The following is a 16,396-nucleotide window of genomic DNA, read 5'->3' as shown; positions in this document are numbered from 1 at the left end:
TTGGGGAATTGGGATTGTGACAGGCAGAGGGTTTCTAGGGTGCTGGTACCATTTTCCCTCTGGTTGTGGGTGGAGAGTTACCCAGGAGTCTTCACTTTGTAGTCATGCATTGAGCTGCACACTTTGGATCTGAGCAGTTTTCTGTCTGTGCTTTACACAGAATAAAAAGATTTAGTGAAAATGATCTGAAAATATATTCATGCACTGGACAAGAGTAGCGAAAGGGGTGGACTGGATCTGGGGGTACAAGGTCAAATCTCCATCTAGCCTGCTGGGTAACCATAGCAATGCATCGGCCTCTGCCCTTCCTCCTCCACAAAATGAGGGCCACAGAAGGTACCCCTTTTGTGAGGATGTGAACTCCTTTGAAACACTCTGCATTCCCACCCAGAAAAATGTACACATGCATGACATTTTGTGTGCAAATTCCAGGTGGGGGCTCACAGGCCTCCCTAAAGTTCACACCCAGGGATGCCCAATCAGATCCCAGGTGATGGAGCTCTGGAGGGGGTGGGTGTGGGGTGTGCACCTTAAGAAGCAGGTTCTACAGCCTGACAGCCCTGGGGCTGAGTCCTGGCTCAACACTTTCTAATCATGGGGTCTTTCTTGGGCAAGCAGGTTGATGTTCAGGCCTCAGATTCCTCATCTGTAGAATGGGGAAAATAAGGTCCAGGGAGTGGAGGGGAGCTTTGTAGAGATCAGGCATGGCCAGCACTTGGCACAGAGCCTGTCACACAGTAAGCATGCTGGAAATGTCAGCAACTGTTCTGAGGTGGCCTCCAAGCCTCCTTCCAGCCCTGACGTTCCAGGATCTATTATGAATGAAAAAACCCACCCCGAAATTAGAATTGAGTAACACGAGGCTGCGTGTGTCCTTCGTGTCAACGTCAAATTTCCTCAGAGAGACGTGGTTTTGGCACTTGGACTCTCTGGAAACCAAAGTTAGCTTGCAAATGAGATGTCACATGTGTCCAGTGATGGCGTCTTGGGCCTTTTGTGTGCAAAGAAGTTTCCAGAAGGACATCCGCTCCGGCCCAGAAACCACTGGATAGCCCTTCGTGGTCTTGGGCTGCATGACTCTGGTTTTATTAGTAATCAACTGTCATCCAGAAGACTGCTTGGGGCCTTGGCCAGAGTCTCCTTCATGCCGTTGGGCGGCGCCATGGCACATGCCCAGAGTCTCCGGGGGGCTGGGAAGGAAGCGGTTCCCGGTGGCAGCCGTGGCTCTTCCACGGTCCTAGCTTATCTCCTGGCATGCCAATAAAACAGAAATGTTTGCAGCAATAATGAAATAGGTCCCCAGATTAAATATGCTGCTCTCTTCGTTATTAGAAAAACTGTTTGCCTGACGGGGCAGTGGCCTGGGATGAGGAAGCTCCCAGCAGGAGACATGTGGCTGAGAAGGAGGGAGAAGGAAGCCCGGGGAGGCTGCCCATCCACAGGCCCACGTTTGAGGGCACTGCTCCACGTGTCAGAGCCAGGCCCCATGCCATCATCACGGGGTGTCACTGTCACTCCGCTAACACCTGTGCTTTGAGCCCCACCATCTGGGGGTGTGCTGTTTCCAAGAAAAAGCCACATCTACTCCAAGCTTCCCACCGTCAAAGGGCACAAAAGCCCTCCCAAGCCTTCATGGTGAAGATTGTCTGTGCTTGGCATTCCTAACATCAAGAGCAACAGGCAGTCTTTGCTGAGGGCTCACTATCCACAGAGTTGCATTAATCCCCACAGCACCTTCTAATAAAACAGTTTTATGCCCATTTTGCAGAGGAGGAAACTGAGGCATAAGGAAACCAAGTGTGTTGACCACAGTCACCACTAGTGAATGCTGGAGCTGGGATTCAAGTCCAGGCAGGTGACCCAGAACCCATGCCCCTCCCCATTGTGTCACAACCCCTCTGTGGTGTGGGTATGGTCTCATTTTCTCCATTTTCTACTGGACAAAAAGGGTGCATAGGGTGACTAGGAAATTCATCAGAAAATAACACGGAGCCCTGTCTAACCATGAGCACACAGCAGCCCAATCCCAGCTGAGGAACATTCTGAAAACACCTGAGTGGCCTCCTTCACACTGTCAAGGTCGTCAGAAACAAGGGGAGGCCAACAGGCTCCCAGCACAAAGGAGCTGAAGGAAACCTGATGGTTAATGCCATGTGGGCTCCTGGACAGGATCCTGGGGCAGAAAGAGGACATTATGTAAAAACAAAGGAAATCTGAATAAAGTATGGACTTTAATTAATAATGAAATAATAACATATTAATATGGGTTCATTAACTGTAATCAATATAATTGGTTTCTTAAATGTACTAGACTAATGTAAGAAGTTAGCAATAACCAGAGTGGGTGTGAGGTATATGGGGACTCTCTGTACTATTTTCTCAATTTAGTGTGTTCTTAAAAAAGTAAAATCAGTTAAAAAGAATAAGATGGCAGGAAAGATGGATAGCGAGAGGAAGTGATATGGTTTGGCTCTGTGTCCCCACCCAAATCTCATCTCAAATTGTAATCCCCTTCATCTCTACGTGTTGAGGGAAGGACCTGGTGGGAGGTGATTGGATCATGGCAGCAGTTTCCCCCATGCTGTTCTCATGATAGTGAGTTCTCACGAGGACTGATGGTTTTATAAGTGTTTGACAGTTCCTCCTTCACTTTCTCTCTCTCACCTGCCAGCATGTAAGACATGCTTGCTTCCCCTTCCGCTATGATTGTCAGTTTCCTGAGGCCTCCTCAGCCTCTTTATAACAATGTGAGAATGAACTAATATGGGAGGGAGGGAGGGAGGGAGAGAGGGAGGGAAGGAGGGAAGGAAGGAAGGAAGGAAGGTAGGTAGGGAGGGAGGGAGGGAGGGATTATACAAGAATCACAGGATCGTGACAGTTGCAGAATCTTGGTGTGGATACATGTGTACTATTTGTGTAATTTTTCTGTATGTTTGAAATATTTTATAATACAATGTTGGGAAGATAAAAAGGTATCAGAGGCTAAGGGCAGTATTCAAGTCTCACCCAAACCAAGTTTCCTTATTCCTTTGTGTGTGGGTGCATCCTCCCTGGAGGAGGAAAAGCACTACTCACTAATCATGAAAGCTTCATCACCAGCACACAACGGCAGGACACGGCATCTCTGCAGTGTATGATGTGGCCGCTGACACCAGGATCCCTTTTTCTTCCCAAGTAGATCCAAATCTTGACAGGGCCAGCATCCAAGTCTCTGAATGCCAAGGAAACAGGGCTAAAGAACAGACCCAGGGGATGTGTAACTCATCCTTCCCTCCTCATAAGCCACAGTCAGTGCCAGTCAGGGCATCAGCACACGTTACAGGCACGAGCTTTGCACTCAGCACCCCCTGGGCCACAGAAGGGGAAGAACCTCACACCCCAGGACCAAAGAACCTGTCGAGATTCAGCAAAAGTCCTGCAAAGAGAAAAACACACATCTGGTGGCAGGAGGAGGGCGCGGGGGCGGGACGGGCATGCTGCCGCTCCCAAGGCCCCTCCTCTGGCTGATTGAGGACGGGACGCACAAACAACCCCAAATGCTTCCAGTCTGGTCCTCGAGGAGAAAGGATATTTGTGGTAACGGAGAAATTTGCCACCCAGCGCTGTTGCTTTGGTGTCATGTTTCTGCGGTCACAAGTTATTCATCCAAAATTGGTCTCTGCTAAGAAACAACAAGAAAAAAAGTCCATGCAACAAAATGGGATTTGAAGTGATCTTCCATTCTGGGGTTGATATTGGGGAAATGAAGAGAAAAAACAAAAGCAGAAGAAAAGAGAGAATAGTATATTGGACTGAAGTCCTTCCACCTCACTCCATCCTCCGACACGGGGAACCAGGCTTCCTCCCACAGAGTCAGGATGGGCTTCCTGCCTGCCAGGGAAGGTCTAGACTCTGCGACACAGATGCTGGGGTGTGCTCTCAAAAGGCCAATGGCTAAGGCACACCCAAGTGGGGATCCCAATTCAGAATGCCTGGGACACAGTGGAGAATTCCCTTAAGACAGCAGAACCGGATTTCAGGATCCCATGAACCACCTTCCTTGCCCTCCTCTTGCCTGTTGGAGGAATATTTTCTCAGTCAGCCTCTGGGTTGGTCGCTGGAAAATAGTTATCCAGGCAGCAGCAGCAGCAGCCTACTAGGACATAGCACATAGGTCATCTGGCTGAGGTCCCCCTGCCCACAGGCACGACCCAGCTCTCCATCTGCAGGATAGGTGGCTGGGCCACCCACCCCAGGCCCAGGGAGGCTTCAGCATTTCACAAGCTCATCAACTTCAGCTCCACAGCACCGGCCACTCCCGGGTGCTGTGGACCCCTTCCAAGTGCTCAGAGATGCTCAGGGTCAGACCAGGGTGGAGTCCTGGCCCTGCCGTGTGAGAGGTCAAGTTGCTTGGATCTTGCTGAGCCTTGGGAGCTCAAGGTACAAAATGACAATGGCGATGACGCCCACCCCGCGAGGTTTTGGGAAGTCAACCATTCAAAGTGCTTCACCTGGCATTGGACCAAGGTGAGCGCTCAAAATATGTTACCATAATTATCAGGTGGACACAGCAAACAGCTTGGGTCTAATCCCTCTCCTGGGATCTGGGCCTCACCTGCCTGCAGCTAAGCAGTAAAGGAGCTGAGATTCGAAAGCAGGGAGTCTGGGCTCCTACAGGAGTGGTGAGAAAGGGTGGCATGATGGGAAGGCTGGGTCACCCACTACAGATAGAGCCAAACATGCCTAGAGTGTGCCCACCCCTTTCCATCCCTACCCCATTGCAGGTGCAGGTGGAGACGGAACCCTAGACACTGCTCATCCCAATCAGGCCCTTTCCAGGCCTGTCCCATTCCAATCGGGCATCAGATGTGGCATTGATCATCATCTACTTAACAAACGAGGCTCCCCTTTCAATGCACTTGGTGAGTTCACAGGCTACAGGTGGGCAATCCACAGGACCCCCTTGCCTCCCCTCCTGGCCTTCCCCCCTACCACCCCCAATATCAAGTGCAGCTGTGGGTTTTTGTGCTAATGAGCATTACAATGTGGTCAGCTTTTCATCTTATTGTTTCTTCTGATGACTGGAGATTTACCTCATGCAGAAGAGAGTGGAATACTGAGGGTGGGTGCCCCAACTCCCTAAAGCCCTGCTCTGCACTGATGGCCGGAGGTGGGCTAGAAACCAACTGGTTCGGCTGGAGAAGAGGAAGCAACTCATGGACAAGGGTCCCCTTGGGGGGTGGGTCCTTTGGAGAAGGGCCCACAAGGTGTAGAAAGAGCACAGTCCCCAGTCACTGAGCAGCACCATGTGCCCTGGGAAGACACCTCTCAACCCGCCAGCCCCAGGGCTTGCCCTCCTCCTGGGAGAGACTGACAAGTGCTGAAGCTGCCAAGCAATCACAGACAGAGCCAAAGAGCCAAGATATCAGAGGCCTGAGATGATAATGGAGTTGGATTCCTGGAACTAGTCTATCCCAACACCACTTATTGTTTCACCAATCCATTCATTTACTCAAAGAATTACTCATTCAAAATATAAAAGCATTCCATTTTGGTTTCAGAAGAAAAATTACTCATTCATTCAACAAACATTCCACAGGGTCTCCTCTGGGCCAACCTTGGTTCTGAGATAGCAGGTGCTGAAATACTGCTGAATCCTCAAAGCCAGACTAGCCAGTGCCTGGCACCTGATGGGAATATGATTTCAACGAACAGGTGGGTGGATGAATGGATGGATGGATGGACAAATGGGTGGAAGGGTGGATGAATAAATGGGTGAATGGGTGGTGGTGGGTGGGTGGATGACCCTCACCTCCTCACAGAAAGTAATCTTTGCTGTGTTCACATAAAATCCACACAACAATCTCTCTCTCTTTTTCTCTCTCTCTGGAAAGAAATGAAGAGACCACCCAGAAATACAGACCCAGCCTTTCATTCTCTTATATTCCTTATGTCCAACATTTATTGGGCCCTTACCATGTGCTCCATATGGTGCTGGGTCCTGGGAGTTGGAGTTACAAACAACTAAGATGACAGACTTTGCTCCAAGTAGGGATTCTTGGCTCTCAGCCCCATGGAGAAAGTCTCCTTATCACCTTTCTGCACAGGGGAGGAAATCGAGATCAAAAAAGTTAAGAGACTGAGTTAAGGCCACTCCATCAGCTGCCCCAAAGCCCCTGTGTCTGCTCTGGCTGGCACTCTGAGGTCCCACTGCTGACAAGAGTGGAGTAAGAGGAAAAAGAGGTGATGTGCAATTGTGTGAGGAGTTCTTACCACTCAGGGATTCAGAGGCTGAAGGAAGGTGAGGGCTGGAAGGTCCAGGGAAGGCTTTAAGGAGAAAGAGAGAGGCAGGTAGTGGGAATGAGGTGGGGTGCTGTAAGCTCTAAAGGTCAGAGAGGATGAAAGGGAGTGACCCTTGGTCAGACCAGAGGCTGAGCCACCTTCAAATGCGATTGGCCCTAGCATCAGGTCTGCATTCCCCTCCCCTGCCCTTTATCCTTACCACCATTACCACCACCACCAACATCATCATCATCAACAACACCAATAACAACACCATCACCACCAACACCAACAACTTTATCACTACTAACTACAATAATATCAACATCATTAATATCAACATCATCATCACCAACATTGCCATCATCAACACCAATACAACACCATCACCAACACCAATAACACCATCACCCTCAACACCAACAACACCATCACTACCAATAACATCACCAGCACCAACACCAGCACAACAACACTATCATCACCAACAGCAACACCGTCACTACCAAAAACAACAGCAACACCAACACCATCACCATCACTACCAACACACCAACAGTACCAACAACACTAACACACCAACACCATCACCATCACCAACAACAGCAACACCAATGGTAACAGCAACAATAACAGTCATAAGAGCTAAATACATTTGACCCTGACCATGTGTAGAGCACTGAGCTGAGAGTTTTAAGTGCATTATTTTGTTTGAGTCTCCCGAAGGAGAACCGTGAGAGGGGTACTGCTGTGACAGACACCCCCATTTTGGAGATGAGGAACTGAGTTGTAGAACACTCCTGTTAATCTTTCCGGGCTAGACCCGAGAAAGGCCTTGAACACAGACGTTGGACTCTGAAATCAGTGCCTTCAACATCCCCGCCCCATGGCTTTCTGTTCAGAGAAATGGGTCACATTTGTTGTGTGCCCACAATGTGCAGTGTGCAGGGTGTCCTGAAGGTGTCCCACATGCAGAAAGTCATTGCATCCTTTTCCTTCCCCCAGGGCAGGGCCTGTGACTCTCCTGGTTGGGTCCAAAAGGACAGGCTCCTTAGGGAGACTGAGAATTGCAACCTGATTGCCCAGGAATGGAGTGGAGGGTCTGGGCTTTGGTCCTGACACCCTGATTTGCCACTGCTCCGTGCCACCTCCTCCCCTGTACTTTGCTCCTGGGTCTCACTCGAGCTTACCCTCTCTGAAACTCAGTTTCCTCATCTGCGAAACACACAGATTCATCAAGAGCTGTGGTTCTCACTAAAGGGTGATTTTGCCCCCAGGGACATTCAGTGGTGTCATCACCATGAGGGGGGTGCTACTGGCACCTGGTGAGTGGAGGCCAGGGATGCTGCCCAACATCCTGCAGCGCACAGGACAGCCCAGATTCTCCATCAGCAGTGCCCAGGTGGAGAAGCCCTGACCTCGATGATCCCAAGCTCCCAGAAATTGTAACTAAACTCCCAAAGCTTGTCAGAAAACGAATTCTCTGTCAAAATCCCTAAAAGGAAAGAAAAAAAAATCCTTTCTCTGCTTTCCCAACTCCAGCCCAGTCTCACACACATGAACCTCTGCAAAGATGGAGCCAGGGAGGCTTGAACACAGTTGTGTTCCAGACAGAAAATGACTTAATTCTCCAGAATGGACCCCTATTTTATGCTATTTAATATCTGCACACGATTCCAGACCCTTTCTTACTGCTGTTCAGAGCAAGACAGTAATTTCATTCTTTTTCTTTTTCCTTTTTTTTTCCTGCTCCCTGCTGCCCTCACATTGAAACTCCGTGAACTCTGGCGTCGGTTGTAAGAACGTCTTTATAAAGGGTTGCACGAGATTTCTTACTATATCAGAGTTCCTGAGGATGATGTATCACGTTACTAATTCCCTTAATTGCATGTCTGGGCTAAAAACAGACTCTCTTAGTTTTTCTAAGAAGTTACATTCTTAATGACATTAAAACACGATGGTAAATGAAGCTAAATGCTAACTGATGTACTTAAATCATGAATCAGTCTATAGAGTGTTTACCTAAACTTGTTTATCCTTCTTGGTCACTCATTTTGTAGGTTTTGCCAACACTGAGTCAGATTCGGTATCTGGAAATGGCTCAAGAATTTTTGTTTTCTTTCGATTTTTTAGCCCCAGACTGAGTGGATGCTGCAATCATGCAGTAATCAAAGAATTAGAAAAAGCAAGAGGCTGGAGGCTGATTCATTTCCCCGGCTTTTTGCAGGGTGGGGAGGACAGAGAAGCTGCAGGGAGAGATGAAGTTTTTTCCTTGAGGATGAAAAGCTCTTAACCTTGCACGTTTGGCTTCTTCTATTCAATTTTTTTAAAAGCAGAGATAGGGAGGTATGTGATTAATAGCAAAAGACAGCATTTAAGGACCGCCAGGTGCCAGGTGTTCTAAACGTGCCATGTATTTTAGCTCACAGAATCCTCCCCACAAAGCCGAGAAGCAGGAAGCAGCAACCCTCCCAGATGAAGAAGCGAAGGCTCGGAAAAGCTAAGTAACTTCTCCAAGCTGACGCAGCTCGTGAGAGGAGGGACTGGGATTCAAATCCCTGCAGGGGGAGACCAGCAGCCCCGACTTCAGCCGCCATGCCTCCTGCCTGAGAAGCTAGCTGCGAAGGTTCCAGAAGGAGACTGCCCTCCGGGAACAGAAACAGCGCATGACTGCGACCTGTCTGCAAAAATCTTGATCACTTGTAAATCCTTCTCCACCTGATAAGTTATCACATTGGCTCATGATGTTTTTTTTCATTCTCAGTGAGTTCAAAATACTATTTTGGTTTGTCTCAGTTTCTTCCTCTCTCTCTCTCTCTCTCTCTCTCTCTCTCGTATAAAGGTATCCACATGTCACATGTCATTTGTTGATAATTAAATTTTGAATAGACAATTCATTGTCAAAACCATCAAACAGTATACTACATGTCTGCATTTGACTCTATATACATTTTACCTAACAAGGAAAGCCCATAAACAAATACGAAAGTCTGGCTAATGATCCACATACAGAAGTGTTTGGGAGGATGGGCTCTGAGATCTACAGCTTACTTTGAAAGGCATCAAAGTGTATTGACGGACGTCTGGATGGATGGAGGGATAGACGTGTGTTAAACTAAACAGACCAACATGGCAATTACAGAAACTAGATGATAAGTACATCGATGCTCACTGTACAATTCTTCATGTTGCTAATTTTCATTAACATGTTCAAAAATTCTGAATACAGACACTAGGTAGAAACTCCAAAGACACAAGTTAAATGTAAGTAAGTCTTCCTCCACCTCATCCTGTCTGTCAGTCTTTCGGGTTCCCTAACAATGGCAATGGCAATCCCTAGTACCTGTGGCTCTGGGGTATCATTCCAGGGATATTCTATGCCTGTTTTAACACATAGATGATTTATTTTCAGTGATGATAATGATAACTAATAATTATGCCGCACTTGCTACATGCCAAGCACTGTCCTGTTTAACATACATTGATTTATGAAATCTCTTCAACAGCCCTATGGCGTGGATGCTGTTACTACCCCATTTTACAAAGGAGTAAAGTGAGGCCCAGAGAGAACAGTTAAATCACTTCCCCAGCTTCACTCAACTCATCTACGGTGAGTCGACGGTACACATGCCCTTCCACAACACAAAGGTCTCCACTTTGCCACGTGTCACTCTGATGGTTCCAGGTGCAGATTTTGCGTCTGCTTCTTGACTTCTAATGGCTGCACCATTTTGCATTGGATGGTTATACCATCATTTATTTGACTCATCTCCTGTGCACAAGCATCTAGTTTATCTGCAAACTTTTGCTACCAAAAACAATGCTGCAATGAATAAATAAGCTGATGCCTGCTTCTAAGCGTGCGTGCATGCTGTAATGTGAGATGAATTCCCAGAAGTGGAGTGGCTGAGTCCAAGAGTAAATGCATTTTTCATTTTGATAGTATCGCCAAATGTCTTTCCAAAGGGGTTGTGCTGGATCCCACTCCAGCTAGCAATGTGTGAGAGCACCAATCCCACCGCCCACTGCAGCACACATATTGACGTCGGCTAGTCCAATACCAGCACAGGCAGCTGGGCCCCCTCGGGTGATGCAGTGGGCAAAGTGCGCACTCAGCTCTGAGGTATTGAGGAAACTGTCTCATTGTGGTTGGGATTCATGTTTTCTTCCATAAATGGGACAGAGCATCTTTTTATATGTCTGAATTCATTTCAACTGCTGTTCCTTCAACTAGACCATTTTCTTACAAATTGTGGGTTTAAGGGCTAGACAAGCAGGTTTATTCCTCTCTCCCAATGTTCTAACTGAAGGTAGAGTGGAAAATTATCTTCTCTAGGAAGAAATGTACCACCACTCTGAAGAATGAAAGAAAGCAAGCTAAAAAGGAGAGAGAGCATGAAGAAGGAAGACAAAACTGAAGTTAGGTCATGGAAACCAGAAGAGATCCTGGGGCCACATTGTGCACTTGAATCTCATTATGGTCAAACCCTGTTGCAACATTTCCCAAAAGACCAAGAAGGGGAAAACTCTGGAAGCTGGGGAAGGGAAAGTACTGACAGCCTGTGCCTGAGTGTGTGAGCATGTGTGTGTGTGTGTGTGAGTGTGTGTGTATCTTAGACTTGGACTACAAAATTTAGAGAAAAAAGAGTAAGAAAGAAAAGAAAGAAAAAATACAACACTTAAACATTCCATACATAGAGGTCACATATGAAGGGACAATGAAATGGTGTCTTAGAAGAATTTGGGGTCTTTGCAGGTGTGCCCCCTAGAACACCGCATCGGTCTACATCTGTGTTCTAGTCTCTGAAGAAATCATGTGGTTCTTCTGGTGCCCGCCGAGGAATTTACTGGTATTTATGAAAAGAACATGGCTTAGTTGCGTCTCTTCTGATCTAACCCATTTGGAACGTAACTTAGAAGGACAGTCCTGCGCATCTTCTTGCGAAACTGTTCCATAGTCCTCCCCTAGGAAGTCGTGCAGTTCTTGGAGACATTTGGGCAACTCTTTAATCTGCCTCATCAGGGAGGGAGGGCACACAGGCCTGGGGTAGAAAAGGCCAGCCTCATTTTTTTTTTTTTATTGTGATGAAATTGCAAACTTACATCCTGAGACTAAAATTAAATGGAGGAAAGCTCTGCCCGTCGTGGGTGGTCTTCCTCGGGCCCTTCGGAAGGAGGGGTCGGATGGAGCAGGAGAGCACATTTAGCAACATTTCCAATAGGGTAATGACAGCAATCATGATAGCTGTCCCCCTTGGGAGGGAGAAATCACAAAAACCTACACAGTGACAAAAATAAACAAGCGTGTAACGCCAGCAGAGGAGGCCTGGCCCGCTCTGAACTTGGAGAACATCAAAGTGAAGCCAGTTATCAGGCCGTCCAGGCTCCAGGCTCCTTCGCGTCCTGCTCAGTGCTTTTATCAGCCGTTTGGACTTTGGAGGAGCCCAGAGGACGCTCGCTGAGCACAGCTGCGAGGAACAGACGTGCTGGACTGCAGAGTCTGAACAGAAAGGATGCTCAGGCTGTGGCTGATAAATGGGAGGCACAGGAGGAAATTTCACAGGGATGAACAACCCTCCTCCATTTAGATTCCAAAAATTCCAACCCATGAAAAGAGCAGAGAGAGCCCGGACTGAAGTCAGGCAGATCCGGGAAGGAATCCATACCTGCGCGTCCCCTGGGCAGCACAGGGTGGGAGGCCCCAGATCCCTGGCTTCCTCACCTGCGGAAAGGATGAGACTCGCCCAGCGTTCACCCAGTGAATATGCTTTCAGCCTCTGCTGGGTACCAGGCATAGTTTTGGGCACTGGGAATAAAGGGGTGAGGAAATAGAATTTTTAAATTCCTAAAGAAATCAGATTTTTAAAAATCCTTGTGGTGATGGAAATGTTCCGTATCATGATAGTGGGGATGATACAGGAACCTACACATGTAATAAATTGCATAGAAACACACACACACACGCACGCACACACACACACCCCTGCAGGTTAAAAATAAGAAACCGAGTAAAACGGGTGGATTGAGTCAGTGTCATTATCCTGGTTGTAACATTCTGTAGTTCTGCAAAATGTTGCAGTTGGAGGAAACTAAATGAAGTCTGCATTGTATCTCTCTGTATTATGTCTTAGAACCACCTGGGAATCTACAATGACCTCAATACAAATTTCAATTAACAGATAAATACATCAAAACCCCTGCCATCCTGGAGCCCACGTTCCGTTGGGGAATTTCCAAGGTAGACTCCAATGAGACAGCAAGCTTGGGCCTCCCCCCCGCCCCGCTTCACATCACCTGTCAGGGGACAGTGGGAGATCAGTAATGGCCATTATTAGCTACTTCGTGTCAGTCAGGGGCCTGCTCAACTGGAAGTAAATGGCCGTTTAAACTGGGCTTTAAATTGAAGCTGGCATGAGAAGGCAATCTTCCCAAAGGTGTGGCCCAGGTTGAGGGAATGGCAGGAGGGGTAGCTGTGCAGGGAAGGAAGCCCCACGGGTAGGTGGGGTGGGGTGGGGCTGAAGAGGCCACCCAGCAGAGAGGCGACAATTACCATAGGCCAGGTATCTTATGAAACAGAAATGTATTCTGCCACAGGCCTGGAGGCGGGGGTCTGAAATCAAGGTGTGGGCAGGGCTGTGCTCCCTGTGAAGGCACCAGGGGAGAACCCTTCCTGCCTCTTCCAGCTTCCCAAGGTTCCAGGTGTTCCCTGGCTTGTGCCTTCATCCCTCCAACCTCTGCCTCTGTCTCCACATGGCTGCCTTCTCTGTGTCTCTCTGTGTCCATGTTTTCTCCTCTTCTGACTCTCTTGAGGGCACTTGTCATTGGACTTAGGGCCCATGCTAATCCAGGATGATCGCATCGCAAGATCTTTAATTACATCTATGCAGGCCCTTTTCCCCAAATAAAGTCGTATTCACAGGTCCCAGGCTGAGACATGGATGTGTCTTTTGCAGGAGTACCTTTCAACGCCCCCACAGATGGTTCCAGGTGGTCCAGAGCCTGACAGGGAAGGAGAGCCTAGGGTATAGGTCTGGGGGGCAAAGAGAGGCACCGGGGGGCCCGGAAGACAGCACTGGCACAGTCAGTCCCAGGAAAATAGTGATGATGACGATTATGATTACAGCCCAAGATGAAACACCTGGGCTCTGGCAGAGGCCAGCCGCATCCCTTGACTCTCATTCCCTGAGAGGGAATGAGACATTTGGGCAACCTGCTTGGTTTCCCACTGTGGCCGGCTTTGATTCTCTGCCCAGTATTTGCTCCTTTTGATTGATTACCTCATGTTATATAACCTGAGTGGCTACAAGCAGCAATCTGTAATTTGCAACATCCGGAAAGCCACTGTCAGCTTCAGGTATCAGAGTCAGCAGCCCGGGCCTGTGGGAGGAAGAGCTCTCCCAGGCAGGACCCATGACATAATCTGGGGGTCCAGGGCTAGCTGAAAATGCAAGGCGCTGTGCTCAACAGTTACCCATCTTAGGATGGTGTCCGCAGGGCATTAAACCCAGCACAGGCCTTTCTGAGTGCGAGCCCCTGAGTGCCTGTGTAGGCCACTTGTCTGCGGAGCTGGCCTCACTCCCAGGTTACAGCGAGGCAGGCAGACCCAAGCCACACACATGGGGCCGCTGAGTCCAGGCGACACGGGGGGGTCTCAGTCAAATGACGTTCATTTTTGATGAGGATTATGGGGTTGGCAGAAATCAGATGGCGAATGTGTCTTTGCAGGGGAAGCCTTAGCTCAAGCTGCAGGCTGACTTCCGATCCCCAGATGAAAATGAGTGCACATCCAGCTCTCGGCACACTTCAGGAAGGGAAGAACGGGCAGCGGGAGACCCCTCAGATGGGATAGGCCGGTGGTGGCCAGTCCCTCTGCTGTAGCCAGGAGGAGCCCTGGGTGTCCTTAGATCCTGCAAGCCGAGGCTCAGCCCTCCTGCTAACCCTGCTCCGAGGCTCCTCCCTGCCCCCACAGGCTGTAGGGTCGGAACCCAGCACACGCCCCCCCAGGGCAGAGTCCTCACCCTTGGCCTGCACCCTGTTTTCCAGCCAGAGCCTCTGAGAGCGGCCGTCCTGCAGCACAGCCACTACATGTGCCTAGCAGAGCCGGTGCCTGGGGTCTGAGCATCCTGTGGGCTGCTGGGCTGGGCTGGTGCTCGGCATGGGATGGTCCCGAAGGAGGGGCCCGGTGCCTGGAAAGGCCACAGCATGACCCTCGTGGTGGGGGTCTCTTGAGTGCAGACATGTGTGAAGTGCTGTCCGTGCATTTTCTTACTCTAGCCTCATGACAACTCCACGAGGGGCACCGTCATCAGCTCCTGTGGATTGCTGAGAAGGCAGAGGCTCCAAGAGGGCAAGTTACTTGCCCAAGGTCACACAGCCGGTGCTGATGGCGCTGGACTCAGACCTGGGCATCCTGGTTTTGGAGCCCCTCATTCTTACCCAAGGTGCTTCTGTGCCACCCCAGGACAGGGTGTGGTTGCAGAGAGGTCCATGAGCAGGCATGGCCACCCCTGCAGGCACAGAACACAAGTGTTCTCTCCAAATGATGGGCGTCAGAGCCCAGCCAGCCCTGCTCGTTGACGGGGATGGCATTGAGCAGGGTTCAGATATCTGACCTTGGCTTCAGGGTCTCTCCTCCCAGAAATGTCCTCTGCTGACCTCCGTCCGAGGTCAGCATCCTTTTCCAGGCATCCCAAAGTCAGGCGCGTAGCTCATATACACTGCAGGTCAACTCAAAATCACTGTTGATATCCAAGGTGGGGAGCAAAGGCCTCGAATCCCTGTCCACAATAGGACAAAAGCCGTGATGGTATCTGGGGTGGCCCTGCTCAGCTTCCTGTGAGTGGGATCAGGGTGACCATGACAGGGAGGCTATCTGTGCCAACTCTCAGCGTGGCTGCCAGCCAGCTCGCTAGTCCCCTCTGCTTAGCCTCCTTCCCTCTCTGTGGGAGGAAGCTGAGCACAGCAGCTAAGCAAGCACATGCTGGTGGGAGCAGGACTGCCTGGATTCAAATCCCAGCACCACCTCTTGCTGATCATGGGGTGCTGGTCTGCAGTGAGTTCTCTACTTTCCCTGAGCCTCAAGTTCCCCAGTTGCAAAATGGGGATGTGGCCCCACCAGGGATGCTGTGAGTGCCACTGCACTTCCGGCACTCAGAGCCGCATCTGGGATACCCACTGGTCTTTCTTATTGAGAAGTTGAGACATATGGAAGGTGACGTGGGGCCTTTAAGGCTCCTGTCCATTCAGCAACCTCCTTGCAGTTGGCTGAATGATGCCCCTTCTGCCAGACATCCATGTCCTGATCCACAGAACCCATGAATATGTTGCCTGATGTGGCCAAAGGGACTTTGCAGATGGGATTCAGTTAGGGACTTTGAGAGGGGAGAGTTATCACAGATGATCCGGGTGTGTCCAGGGTAATCTCAGGGTGCTCACTGGGGGCAGAGGGAGCTGTGGCAATGGGAGCTGTTCAGAGACACCGTGCGATCGGCTCTGAAGATGGAGGAGGGGCCAATAGCTGAGGAATGCGGGTGGCCTTTGGAAGCCGGAGAAGGCAAGGAACAGATTCTCCCCTGGAGCCTCCAGAAGGAACCAGCCCTCCAGACACCTTGATTTTAGGCCAGTGAGGCGTATGTCAGACTTTTTACCTCCATAGCTGTAAGAGAATAAGTTTGTGTGGTTTTAAGGCACTAAGCTTGTGGTCATTTGTCATGGCAGCCTAGGAAACTAATGAAGTCATAAAGAGGAAAAAGGTTTCCCAAACTTGCTTAACCATAATTAACTGCTGATTATCGATCACCTACCAGGGTCAGTCTGCACTGGGCCTTACAGACGTTATCTCATTCCATTGCTCATTCCGTTGCCCCAACTACCCCAGGACATGGGTGCTATAATCAGCATGTGCAGCTGAGCAAACAGCCTTTGAGAGGCCACGCAGCCTGCCTGAGGCCACCCAGCTGTGAGAGACAAGGGAGAAATTCGAATCCAGGACCATGTGGCCCCCAAGTCTATGCTCTTTCCACTTTACCAAGCTCCTTCCGTTTCAGGGGATCAGACAGGACCCATTGAGCAAAGCACCCCAACATGCCAGGCCAACCATGGCTTTCCTTCCTTTTCAAACCCACATGGAAAGGAA

General features: G+C 49.5%; 2 long non-coding RNA genes across 2 annotated transcripts in view; both read left to right on the top strand.

Moving 5' to 3' along the window:
- LINC01081 (long intergenic non-protein coding RNA 1081) overlaps positions 1-5,961 on the top strand; it is a 60,668-nt gene extending 54,707 nt beyond the window's left edge. Inside the window, exons 4-6 of the long non-coding RNA NR_104139.1 lie at positions 4,764-4,901; positions 5,579-5,694; positions 5,874-5,961. This is a non-coding gene — a long non-coding RNA (long intergenic non-protein coding RNA 1081). The remainder of the gene's footprint in view (positions 1-4,763; positions 4,902-5,578; positions 5,695-5,873) is intronic.
- A 2,507-nt stretch (positions 5,962-8,468) lies between these two features.
- On the top strand, positions 8,469-13,182 carry LOC124903744 (uncharacterized). The gene is made up of 3 exons (XR_007065165.1): positions 8,469-8,607; positions 8,684-9,024; positions 9,768-13,182. It is a non-coding gene; the product is annotated as an uncharacterized LOC124903744 (long non-coding RNA).
- Positions 13,183-16,396: the final 3,214 nt, after the last annotated feature.

The sequence above is a fragment of the Homo sapiens genome, chromosome 16, assembly GCF_000001405.40.
Source record: "Homo sapiens chromosome 16, GRCh38.p14 Primary Assembly".
Lineage (NCBI taxonomy): Eukaryota > Metazoa > Chordata > Mammalia > Primates > Hominidae > Homo > Homo sapiens.
The sequence above is the reverse complement of the archived record's forward strand: the minus strand, read 5'-3'. Positions and strand labels throughout refer to the sequence as shown.